Below are 12755 nucleotides of genomic sequence, written 5' to 3'. Positions count from 1 at the left end.
CTAAATGAATATTGTAATAGCATTCGTTAGCGATGCTGTTGTGTATGGTGAAAGCCTGCAGCTGTACAAAGTTTTCCTTTGCCAGGCACTGATCCCAGCATTTTACATCTGGTAACTAAATCGATCCTCTCAATAACCTGTGACGTAAGTACTTAAGGGCCACAGTCCGTTATCTGAGCCCTTTGACCCAGGTGTGTCTTTACAGGATTTTTCAAATTTTAGAAAGCTAAGAGACTATGAGAGGCCGGGCGCAGTGGCTCACGCCTGTAATCCCAGCACTTTGGGATGCCGAGGCGGGCGGATCACCTGAGGTCAGGCGTTGAAGACCAGCCTAGTCAACATGGTGAAACCCCCGTCTCTACTAAAAATCCAAAAATTAGCCGGGCGTGGTGGCATGCGCCTGTAATCCCAGCTACTTGGGAGGCTGAGGCAGGAGAATAACTTGAACCTGGGAGGCAGCGTTTGCAGTGAGCCAAGGTCGCGCCACTGCACTCCAGCCTGGGCGACAAGAGCGAAACTCCGTCTCAAAAAAAAAAGAAAGAAAGCTAAGAGGCTATGAGAATAAAAAGGTTCTATTCAAATTCAAGAAAGATAGTGGAAGACAGACAATTGTTTGTCCCCTTATCCAGATTGTGAAATCCAGATTGCCGGAAACCAGTCACAATCAACAGCTGTACATTGGTAAAAACCTATGTAAAATTAGTTGTTTGCCTTGTTCTTGGAGACTGTTCTGCCAGAAGGTTCTCCTTTGCTAGGCAAGTAATAAAATCAATCTAAAAAAAAAAGGCGGGGGCCGGGCGCAGTGGCTCACGCCTGTAGTCCCAGCACTCGGCACTTCGGGGGGGGGGCGGAGGTGGGCGGATCACGAGGTCAGGAGATCGAGACCATCCTGGCTAACACAGTGAAACCCCGCCTCTACTAAAAATACAAAAAATTAGCCTGGCGTGGTAGCACACGCCTGTAGTCCCAGCTACTGGGGAGGCTGAGGTAGGAGAATGGTGTGAACCCGGGAGGCGGAGCTTGCAGTGAGCCGAGATCGCGCCTCTGCACTCCAGCCTGGGCGACAGAGCAAGACTCCCTCTCAAAAAAAAAAAAAGAATATTGCCAAAGGTGGTATGTGCTAAGAAAAATACAGTATGCTTCACGAATTTGCATTTCATCCCTGTGCAGGGGTCATTCCAATTTTGGTATATGTGCTACCCAAGCAAGCACAGTGAAACCAACTGTTTGAGATAATATTTGAGAGTTGGTCTCTTTCCCCCACCGGCATACGTAAACACCCCCAGAGAGTCTGGGGGAACATGCTGAAATCAAACATGCAGTAAAACTTACATGCTTATTCATACTAAGTAGAAAGAATACAGAATATAGACTATAAATAGCCTCAGGTCAAAATTTGCTACCAAATGAGTTTACCCCCAAACTTTTGGTTTACAGAGCTTTTTGGATTTCAGAATTGCACGTAAGAGGCTGGTTATCCTGTATCTCCATATCATGGATGAAGCTGAGGCACAGTTGGGTCAAGTAACTTGCCCATGACTGCATAGCTAGGAAGTGGTGGAGCCTGGATTTAAACTCAAGGAAGCTGGTTCTGGAGCCCTATGTTGTTAACAGAAATACTATAATACTTCCAATTTAACACCATTTTATCTCATTTAGTTATTACAACCACCTTATACTAGGTTGAACTATGTGAAATTGCCAAAATTTGCCCTTTTTAAAATTTTTTTGAGACAGGGTCTGGCTCTGTCACAGAGGCTGGAGTATAGTGGCGTGATCTTGGCTTACTGTAGCCTCAACCTCCCAGGCTTAAGTAATCCTCTCACCTCAGCCTCCTGAGTACCTGGGACCACAGGCCCGCAACACCATGCCCAGCTAATTTTTTTTTTTTTTAATTGAGGAGTCTTATTCTGTCACCCAGGCTGGAGTACAGTGACGCCATCTTGGTTCACTGCAACCCCTGCTTTGCGGGTTCAGGCAATTCTCATGCCTCAGCCTCCTGAGTGCTAGGATTACTGGTGCCTACCACCATGCCCAGCTAATTTTTGTTTTTTAGTAGAGACACGGTTTCACCATGTTGGCCTGCCTGATCCCAAACTCCTGACCACAAGTGACCCGCCTGCCTCAGCCTCCCAAAGTGCTGGGATTACAGGTATGAGCCACTGTGCCCGGTGCCCTGCTAGTATTTTAAAAATTTTCTGTAGAGACGAAGTTTCACTATGTTGCCCAAGCTGGACCTTTTTGGTTTTTTGGTTGTTTTGTTTTGAGACAGGGTCTTACTCTGTCTCCCAGACTGGTGTGCAGTAGTGCAGTCTCAGCTCACCACAACTTTCACCTCCCAAGCTCAAGCAATTCTCCTTCCTCAGCCTCCTGAATAGCTGGGATTACCGGCACGCGCTACTACTGCCCAGCTAATTTTTGTATTTTTAGTAGAGACAGGATTTCACCATGTTGGCCAGGCTGGTCTCAAACTCCTGACCTCAAATGATCCTCCTGCCTCGGCCTCCCAAAATGTTGGGATTACAGGCGGGAGCCACTGCGCCCAGCCAAGCTGGACCGTTTTTGAAGTACAAATATTAATATTTAATTCATTTTGGTTCAACTGAATATAACGTTATTCTCTTTTTGTTGTTGTTGTTTGTTTTTTTGGGGATGGAGTCTTGCTCTGTCACCGAGGCTGGAGTGCAATGGCACGATCTTGGCTCACCACAACCTCCGCCTCCCAGGTTAAGGCAATTCTCCTGCCTCAGTCTCCTGAGTAGCTGGGGTTACAGGCACCAACACACCCAGCTAAGTTTTGTATTTTTAGTAGAGATGGGGTTTCACCATGTTGGCCAGGCTGGTCTCAAACTCCTGACCTCGTGATCCGCCCATCTCTGCCTCCCAAAGTGCTGGGATTATAGATGTGAGCCACTGCGCCCGGCCGATGTTATTCTTTTACAGGGAGGAAATGGAGGTTCAGAGGGGATGCGCCAGTTGTAAGAGGTTAAGAGCCTGGGCTTTGGGTTAAATGGAGAACTGAGCTCTGATCCTAGCTAGCCAAGCAGATAACTCGGAGCAATTAATACTTTTCTGAACTTGTTTCCTCGTCTTTGATAAGGACAGTAGTACCTATGGGCCAAATTTTGGAGGCTACAGTTAGATGCCTCCCACAAACTTCATTAAAAGACAAGAGAACACATGTATTATGTGGGGACACTCAGACCCCCAGAATTGGCATGAATGTTACTTGGAACTGAAGACATTTGAGAGCCAACAGATGCAGAAAGATGCCGTTTCAAAGCTTCCCTTATGCGACTAACAGCAGAAATTTCTGGGAGTGAAGCTGCCGTAAATCTCCTCTCTAGGGGAGTTTTAGTGGCCAGAAAAAAAGACAAAGACCACTTGCACCTGCAAAAACAAACATTCTTATCTCCCTTTTGTTCCCCCAGAAACCTATTTGTTCTTCCCATGGAAGGCTTTTTCTCCCTCCTCTTCCCCTATTAAATGGTATATATAAAGTAGATTTCGAGATTCAAGAAAAAAAAAGTTGTATAAATGCCAAATAACAGCCTCCTGGACTCACTTTTTTTTTCTGTGAACTCCTGCATGCATATCTGAATAAAAGTCTGTCTTTTTTTTTTTTTTTTTCTGAGACAGGGTCTCACTCTGTTGCCCAGGCTGATCCTCCAGCCTCAGCCTCCCAAGCAGCTAAGACTGCAGGTGTGCGTCCTCACACCCTGATAATTTTATTTTCTGTAGAGACTGGGTCTTGCTATGTTGCCCAGGCCGGTCTCCAACTCTTGGGCTCAAGCCCTTCTCTCTACTTGGCCTCCCAAAGTGCTAGGATTACAGGCCTGAGCCACCGTGCCCGGCCCTAAACTGTCTTTAGTCTGCAGTGCCCAACCAACACATACATTCCATGACTATATATGGGTTATTTTGAAAACTGAATAAAAATATTTTTCTTTTATATGTATTTTTTTTTCAAATGGCTACACTTAGTAAATTGCATAACAATCAATGGAGTTGTTTTGGCCTAGGAGATGTGGCAGGAAAGTACTAAGGTAGTAAATATACTAGGTGTTTGGGAACCTCTGGCCTACTGGTTAAGAGCTCTGTATTCAAAGTTTGTGTTCACATCCCAGCTGAGCTGCTTACTAAACTGCACGAGCTTGTTGGGCAAGTTATTTAGCCTGTGCCTCAGTTTCTACATCTGTAAAACAGGGATGATATTAACACTACCTTCTTCATGGGTTGTGCTAAGCATTGAGTGAAAGGGCATTATGAAGCCCTCAGCCCAGTGCTTGGCACGCCATACGTATTCAATAAATTGGACAGTTATACAAATAAATCACCAACTGGCCAGGGACAGTGGCTCACACTTACAATCCCAACACTTTGGGAGGCCAAGACAGAAGGATGACTTGAGGCCAGGAGTTCAAGACCAGCTAGCAACATAGTGAGAACCGCCTCCTTCTCTACAAAAACATTTAAAAAATTTAGCCAGGAGTGGTGGCACGTGCCTATAGTCCTAACTACTCTCTACTCGGGAGGCTCAAGGCAGGAAGATTGCTTGATCCCAGGAGCTTGAGGTTGCAGTGAGCTATGATCAGGCCACTGCACTCCTACCTTGAGACCCTGTCTCAGAAAAAAAAAACAAAAACAACACACACACACACACAAAACAGAAGAAGAAAACAAGTATTCTCCAGAAGAATACAGTGCCCTGTGTTCCCCCCTTTGCCCGTCCAAGGAACAGCGTGACCCAGCAATCTACGTCTTTGTCCTGGGCCTTGGGAGATAAAGTCAAGGATGAAGAAAGGAGGGGCATGTTTTGTGAGGGTTCCGTCCTAGCCCAAGCAGCTCACGATCACCAGGGACAAGCCTGTAGTCTGCCAAAGTCAGGGTTTGTTTTGCTGGTTGCAACGGGGGAGCCTCCACAGCAGACGAACCATGGGGGTGTCTCACCAAACTACAAAAGGGAGGGAGAGGGTGGAGTTTAGGATAAATTTACCTGAAACAGTGTTTTGAAAGCTCAAATCTAGCTGTGTGTAAAGACAAAGCTAAACTACAAAGTCCACCCAAGGTCGCATTTCCTTGGAAACAGCAAAGTTAAGATAGATGTGGAATAGCGTCCACAAATCCCGTATCTAAAGTTACACACCTGGGTTGTAAATCAAAGCTGTTTCTGTGTCAAAGTAAGACGCTCCAGGCAAGAGTGGGATGTTTCATTTTTGCTGATATAATTTCAAACAGCAAGGCAAGGGGAGGTGGCTTACGCCTGTAATCTCAACAGTTTGGGAGGCCGAGGTGGGAGGATTCCTTGAGCCCAGGAGTACAAGACCAGCCTAGGCAGCAGAGTGAGACCCTTTCTCTACAAAAAAAAAAAACACAAAAATTAAAAATAAACCAGCTGGGCATGGTGATGCATGCCTATAGTCTCAACTACTGGCGATGTTGTGGAAGAATCACTTGAACCCGTGAGGCCGAGGCTGCAGTGAACCGTGATCGCACCATTGCATTCCAGCTTGGGTGACAGACTGAGACCCTGTCTCTAAATAAATAAATAATAACAATAATTTCAGCCAGCAAAGTTTCTGAAAGCCTATGACTTTAGAGAACAAGATTTCTGAGATTGTCAAGAGTAAAAAAAAGTTTTCCTTATGCTACTTTGGGATGGCAGTTTATCCTTGGGACAGATTGTGTTTCCTGTTTAACTTTGTAGCTGACTTTATCTTTGTTATCCCAGCCAGATGAATGGCCTGGAATGTTTCAGATTTCTCATTCCTTGCTTATTTTAACTTTCTCAATTCTCAGGAAAAAGGAGGGGAGAAACTTTGTGCAAGTCAGGTGGAAAGAAATAGCACTTGCACTCTGCCTTTGGTCAGCAAGGGTACAGAAATCAAAGCCTCTTGTGTACTCCCCTAAGTACCAAAGGTGTGGTGGAGGCTCTGGGAGGATGGCTGGGGAAGACAGACCCAGAGTCCACTTGGAGAGAGGAAAGATGGGCCTGAGGGCTTCCATAGCCTGGAGGCACTCCCTTCCCCCACTCCAGCTATCTTCTCCATCCTGTGACTAACATCCATTATTATTTTATTTTTTGAGCCAGGGTCTGGCTCTGTCACCAGTGGTGCGAACATGGCTCATTGCAGTCTCAACCTCCTGGTCTCAAGCAGTCCTCCTGCCTCAGCCTCTAGAATAGCTGGGACTACAGGCATGCTACTACCATGCCTGGCTAATTTTTAAAATTTTTTTTGTAGAGATGGGGTCTCCCTATGTTGCCCAAGCTGGTCTCAAACTCCTGAGCTCAAGCAGTCCTCCCACCTCAGCCTCCCAAAATGCTGGGAATACAGACATGAGCCACCTCGACTAACTGGCTGGAAACTTTCATTATCTCAGACCACAAATGGCCCTGGGGGATAGAGAGATGGGGAGGGCTAGCACCAGTATTTCTCTAGCTCTCCAAAGCCATCCTAGGTGGAATTGCCAGGTACTTTTCTAATATGGTCTCAGCCTCTGATCTCCAAAGTCTGGCCCCAGTCTTGCTTCCCAACTGACTGGCCATTCCTGCCCTCTGCATTCACTGTTCTGGGATCAGCCCTGCTCTGAGGCCACGCAGACCTGTTCTCAATCCTGGCAACCTCAGGTACAGGTTGGGCACCCTGGGTAAATTTTTTGCACTTGAGCCTTGGTCTCCTAATCTGATAAATGGGGATTCACTAATATTTGCTTATGGAGGTATTGGGAGGATGGAATGAGATGAAGTGAAAACTGCTGCCAGGCGTCTAATGTATGCACTATAAATATAAATCTTTCCCTTCCCCTCAGGCTGCTTTTGCCCCCTTTGCCATTTCACAATGAGCCAAAGTATGATGGAACTGGATAAGCCCTGTGGGGAACCACTCAGAATCCCTGATTTGGTGTATAAAGATTATTTTAGGCTGAAGACATTTGAGATTCAACAGATGCAGAAAGAAGCCTTCTCAGAGCTTCCTAAATCTGACTAAAAGCAGAAGAAACTTTTTTTTTTTTTTGAGACAGGGTCTTGCCATCATCCAGGCTAGAGTGCAGTGGCACAATCATTGCTCATTGCAGTCTCGACTTCCTAGGCTCAAGCCATCCTCCCACTTCGGCACCCCACCTCCACCCCCAATAGCCAGAGGTACAGGTGCAGACTAATTTTTGTTTGTTTGTTTATTTGAGAGAGAGTCTCACTCCATCACCCAGGCTGGAGTGCAGTGGTGTGATCTCGGCTCACTGCAACCTCTGCCTCCCAGGATCAAGCGATTCTCCTGCCTCAGCCTCCCGAGCAGCTGGGATTATAGGCGCCCACCACCACACCCATCTCATTTTTGGTATTTTTAGTAGAGATGGAATTTTGCCATGTTGGTCAGGCTGGTCTCAAACTCCTGGCCTCAAGTGATCCACCTGCCTCGGCCTGCCAAGTGCTGGGATTACAGGAGTGATTCACCATGCCCAGCCAAGTGCAGGCTAATTTTTATAAGAAAAGCAGAAACCTTTGAGAAATGAAGACTGCTATGTATTTCTTCTTCCAGAAGCTACCAGGAAAGAGACCAAGAGTAAACCTACTTCAGATTCCCTCTCCAGGGGAGTTTCATGGCTATGAAGATATAATAGAAAGACCACAGGCCCCTGCATAAGCAAATGTTATCACAAACTTTATCTCCAGTTTGTTTTCCTAAAAACTCACTTGTGTTTCATAAAGAAACCTATGCATTCTTCCCATAGGAGCCTTGTCTTGCCCCTTCAACTTCTCCTACTACAGTGTATAAGCCACAAATTTTAACCAGCCCTTTGAGCTGTGCATCACAGAGCACTCCTGTGCATATGGGCATTGCATGCATAAACAAATTTGCAAATCTGTCTTTTGTCACTTCAATTTGCAAATATCCAGTACTTGAACTTAAGAGGATAGAGGAAAAGCTTTTCCCCAACATCCCTTATCCTCTGGGCCAACCCCTTCAATATAAGGAGAAAATGAGAAGTTAAGCAGCTAAGTGAGGGAGGGAGGGATTCAGAGTTTGGATGTAGGGGCCCAGATTTCCCACTTACTAGTTGTGTGACCTTGAGTGGATTACTTAACCTGTCTGTGCTTAGGCACATCTATGACATTGGGCACATAATAGTACTCATCTCACGGAGTTGTTGTGTGAATTAAATGAGATAATGCCCATAAAGTGCTCAGAGCTGTTGGACATAGAGTAAGCACTGTATAATCATTATTTTTATTATTAAAGGGTGCTTGCCTGAAGGAAAGATTCTTGCCTGAGAACACTTAGTTAATGAAGCTTGGAACTGAAATGAGGCCGGGCACGTTGGCTCAGGCCTGTAATCCCAGCACTTTGGGAGGCCAAGGTGGGTGGGTCGCTTGAGGTCAGGAGTTCAAGACCAGCCTGGCCAACATGGCGAAACCCCATTTCTATTAAAAAAAAAAAAAATACAAAAATTAGCCAGACGTGGTGGTGCGCACCTGTAATCCCAGCTACTCAGGAGGCTGAGGCATGAGAATTGCTTGAACCCCAGAGGCAGAGGTTGCAGTGAGCCGAGATCACGCCATTGCACTCTAGCCTGGGCAACAGAGCGAGACTCTGTCTCAAAAAAAAAAAAAAAAAAAAAAAAAGAACTGAAATGAACAAACTTTCTTCTCCCTGTGTTAAATAACACTTAAGACCAAACAAAAATAATTTGCCTGCTTGCTCCAGGAAATATCTGCTCCTGAAAGAGAAGTTTGTAAACTAACTAAACAGTTTACCTATCAAGACTAACAGCTCATCAAGACGTTTTCAAGCCCTTACCTTGCTGGACTACCCCCACCAATCCATTATGTCATGAATTCTGCCCCACCCAACTAGTTTCCTTCTTTGCAAGACCCAACGTCAAATGACATGGACGGGGAAGGTAGTTCCAGACCCCCCTAGATCCAATGCCTGGTTATCTCTCTGGCATCTCAAACTTAACATATTCTAAGCTGAACTCTTTTTTTTTTTTTTTTTTTTTGAGGCAGGGTCTCACTCTGTCATCCAGGCTGGAGTGCATTGGCAAAATCTCAGTGCACTGCAATCTCTGCCTCCCAGGCTCAAGCAATCCTCCCACCACAACCTCCCAAGTAGCTGGGACCACAGCTGCATGCCACCACTCCTGGCTAGTTTTTATATTTTTTGTAGAGACAGGGTTTCATCAGGTTGCCCAGGCTGGTCTCAAATTTCTGGGCTCAAGCCATCCACCCACCTAGGTCTCCCAAAGTGCTAGGATTACAGGTGTGAGCTACTGCACCTGCCCTTAAGATGAACTCTTGATCTCCCCTCCTCTAATCTGTCCTCCACCATCTTCTCCATTTTAGGGAGTGACACACCTCTATTCATCCAGTTGCTCAAGTAGTCAGACTTGATACCTCCTCTCCCTTGCCCTTCACATGCAAAGCCTCAGCAATGTCTGCCAGTTCCACCTCCACACATGGAACAAAACTGTCTCCTCTTCTTCTCCCCATTACTCACAGAATCCTCCTAATATGGATCTCTGCTTTTGCTATCATCTTCCTAACATTCCTCCATTTCCTTTTTTTTTTTTTCCTCTTGAGACTAAGTTTTGCTCTTGTTGCCCAGGCTGGATTGCAATGGCGCGATCTCGGCTCACTACAACTTCTGCCTCCTGGGTTCAAGCAGTTCTTCTGCCTCAGCCTCCCAAGTAGCTGGGATTGTATTTTTCTATTTTTAGTAGAGATGGGGTTTCACCATGTTGGTTTCACCAGGATGGTCTCGAACTCCTGACCTTAAGTGATCCACCCACTTCGGCCTCCCCAAGTGCTGGGATTACAGGCATGAGCCACCACGCCTGGCTCTTTTTTTAATCTTTAATTTTTTTTAGAGATGTGGTCACACTCTGTTGCCTAGGCTGGTGCAATCATAGCTCACTATAGCCTCAAACTCCTGGCTCAAGCATTCCTCCTGTCTCAGCCTCCCAAGTAGTGGCACTACAGGCACAAGCCACCATGCCTGGCTAGGTTTTAAATTCTTTGTAGAAGCAGGGTCTCACTATGTTGCCCAGGCTGATCTCGAACTCCTGGGCTCAAGCGATCCTCCAACCTTGGCCTTCCAAAGTGCTAGGATTACAAGTATGAGCCACCACACCCAGCCTTCATCCATCTTCTGTACAACAGCCAGAGCACACATCAGATGGTGTCACTTGCCTCTCCCATTAGAACTTCCCAGTGGATTCCCACCCATCACATAAGGAATACAATCCAAACGCCTTACTGCTGGTCCCTGTTACTTCTCCAGTCTTATTTTATGCCTTCACTTTCCTCATTCATGGTACTCTGGCCAGGCTCAGAGCCTCTTTCCCATCTCAGAGCCTCTGCACTGGCTTTGCCCTCTGTCCAGTGCTCTCTGTCCCCGACTTTACATTGCTGGCTCCTTCTCATCCTTCACGTCTTCGGCAATCTAAAGTAAGTCTCCCTTGTTGCTCCCTTTTTTTTTTTTTTTTTTTTTTTTTGAGGCACAGTCTCACTCTGTCGACCAGGCTGGAGTGCAGTGGCACAATCTTGGCTCACTGCAACCTCCGCCTCCTGGGTTAAAGTGATTCTCCTGCCTAAGCCTCCCTAGTAGCTGGGATTACAGGCACCCACCACTATGCCCAGCTAATTTTTCTATTTGTAGTAGAGACGGGGTTTCACCATGTTGGCCAGGCTGGTCTGCAAATCCTGACCTCATGTGATCCACCGCCTTGGCCTCCCAAAGTGCTGGGAATACAGGCGTGAGCTACCCGGCCCAGCCTCACTTGTTACTCTCATCTGTGCACCAATCACTTGGTCCACAAGTTCATGGAATCAACTTCCTAATTTTGCTTAGTTATTTATGTATTGCTCTTCTCCACTGCACTTCAGGTGTTAAAGGCTTGTTTACCACTGTACACTCAACACTCAAGAACAATGCCTGTGTATATTTAGCCCTTATGGCAAGCTCATCGCCTTAATGGCCCCCAATTCAATAGCCTTCTTTCTTCCTGTAATTTTGTAAGTCCCTCCCACTTTGTCTCTGGCTCACCATGTGACTTGCTTTGGCCAATAAGATGTTAGCAGAGGTTTGAAAAGCACATGGGAGCTTCCTCTTGCCTTCCCACACAATTGGGCTTGTTTTTTCTTGGCCTCCTGCCACTGTCATGAGAGCACACCAGCTAGTCTGCTGGAAGGATGAGGAATGGGAGAGGAATGTGGAGGAGATCTGAGTCAGCCTAGCAGAGCACATCCAGAGTAGCTGACCCTCAGATGTGTGAAGGAGCCCAACCAAGATCAGCAGAGCCATCTGCCTGACCTGCAGCTGAGACACATAAATAAGAAACCTGACAGCTGGGTGTGGTAGCTCACACCTGTGATCCCAGCACTTTGGGAAGCTGAAGAAGGAGGATCACTTGAGGCCAGGAGTTCCAGACCAGCCTGGCCAACATGGCAAAACCCCGTCTCTACTAAAAAATACAAAAATTACCAGAATCGCCTGAACCTTGGAGGCGGAGGTTGCAGTGAGCTGAGATTGCACCACTGCACTCCAGCCTGGGTGACAGAATGAGACTCTGTATCAAAAAAACAAAAACAAAAAATTAGTCAGGTGTGGTGGCAGGCACCTGTAGTCCCAGCTACTAGGGAGCCTGAGGAACAAGAATCACCTGAGCTTGGGAGGCGGAGGTTGCAGTGAGCCGAGACCACGCCACTGCACTCCGGCCTGGGTGACAGAGGGAGACTCCATCTCAAAAAAACAAACAAACCAACCTGAGACCAGAGGAACCGTAAAGCCAACCTACAGAATTATGCACAACAATAAATATTATTATTTTAGGCCACTATGTCTTAGTCCATTTTATGCTACTGTGACAGAATACCACAGACTAAGTAATTTATAAAGAGCTAAAATGTATCCCTCACAGTTCTGGAGGCTGGTAAGTTCAAAGTCAAGGCAGCAGCAGGTTTATTGTGTGGTGAAGGTCCAATCTCTGCTTCTGAGATGGTGCCTGGAACACTGCATCCTCCACAAGGGAGGAACACTGTCCTCACATGAAGGAATGTGGAAGAGCAAAAAGAGATGAATTCCCTCTGTCAAGCCCTTTTATAATCCAATCATAGCTGGGTGCAGTGGCTCACACCTGTAATCCCAGCACTTTGGGAGGTCGAGGCAGGTGGATCATGAGGTCAGGAGATCAAGACCATCCTGGCTAACAGGGTGAAACCCCGTCTCTACTAAAAATACAAAAAATTAGCTGGGCATGGTGGCGGGCGCCTGTAGTCCCAGCTACTCGGGAGGCTGAGGCAGGAGAATGGCATGAACCCAGGAGGCAGAGCTTGCAGTGAGCCGAGATCACGCCACTGCTCTCCAGCCTGGGCGACAGAGTGAGACTCCGTCTCAAAAAAAAAAAAAAAATCCAATCATCATTGATCCATCCAGGAGGGCCAAGCCCTCATGGCCTAAACGCCTCCCAAAAGGTCCCACTTCCCAACACCATTGCAGGGTGAGTGGATATGGGAGGGCAGAAGGGAGGTGAGCATCCTAGGGACCACGTGTGGGGCCTTCAGAGTTCTACAGGGCCCTGGGCCATACACAGAGACTGCAGGGTGAGTTCTAACCAAGCTGGCATGGGCAGTGAGGCGTCTAGCACCAAGTACACAGACAAAGAGTGTGAAAAGCCGGCTGATACAGGAGGGCCCTTGGGAAGACTGCCTGCGCATCCCACAGGATTCTGGGCTCTGCAGTTCTCAGAGGAAAGGG

General features: G+C 46.8%; 2 annotated features.

Annotated features, from left to right (window-relative positions):
* Window positions 4–73: an enhancer, noted in NCBI's record as "active region_15741". NCBI's record gives its function as "activates an Ori minimal core promoter by ATAC-STARR-seq in GM12878 lymphoblastoid cells {active_cell/tissue: GM12878}" and the evidence as "EXISTENCE:reporter gene assay evidence [ECO:0000049][PMID:35858748]".
* Window positions 1024–1205: a silencer, noted in NCBI's record as "fragment chr2:48008525-48008706 (GRCh37/hg19 assembly coordinates)". NCBI's record gives its function as "represses an EF-1alpha promoter that drives an FKBP-Casp9 reporter gene in an ReSE screen in K562 erythroleukemia cells {active_cell/tissue: K562}" and the evidence as "EXISTENCE:reporter gene assay evidence [ECO:0000049][PMID:32094911]".

The sequence above is a fragment of the Homo sapiens genome, chromosome 2 (genome assembly GCF_000001405.40).
Source record: "Homo sapiens chromosome 2, GRCh38.p14 Primary Assembly".
Taxonomy (NCBI): domain Eukaryota; kingdom Metazoa; phylum Chordata; class Mammalia; order Primates; family Hominidae; genus Homo; species Homo sapiens.
The sequence above is the reverse complement of the archived record's forward strand: the minus strand, read 5'-3'. Positions and strand labels throughout refer to the sequence as shown.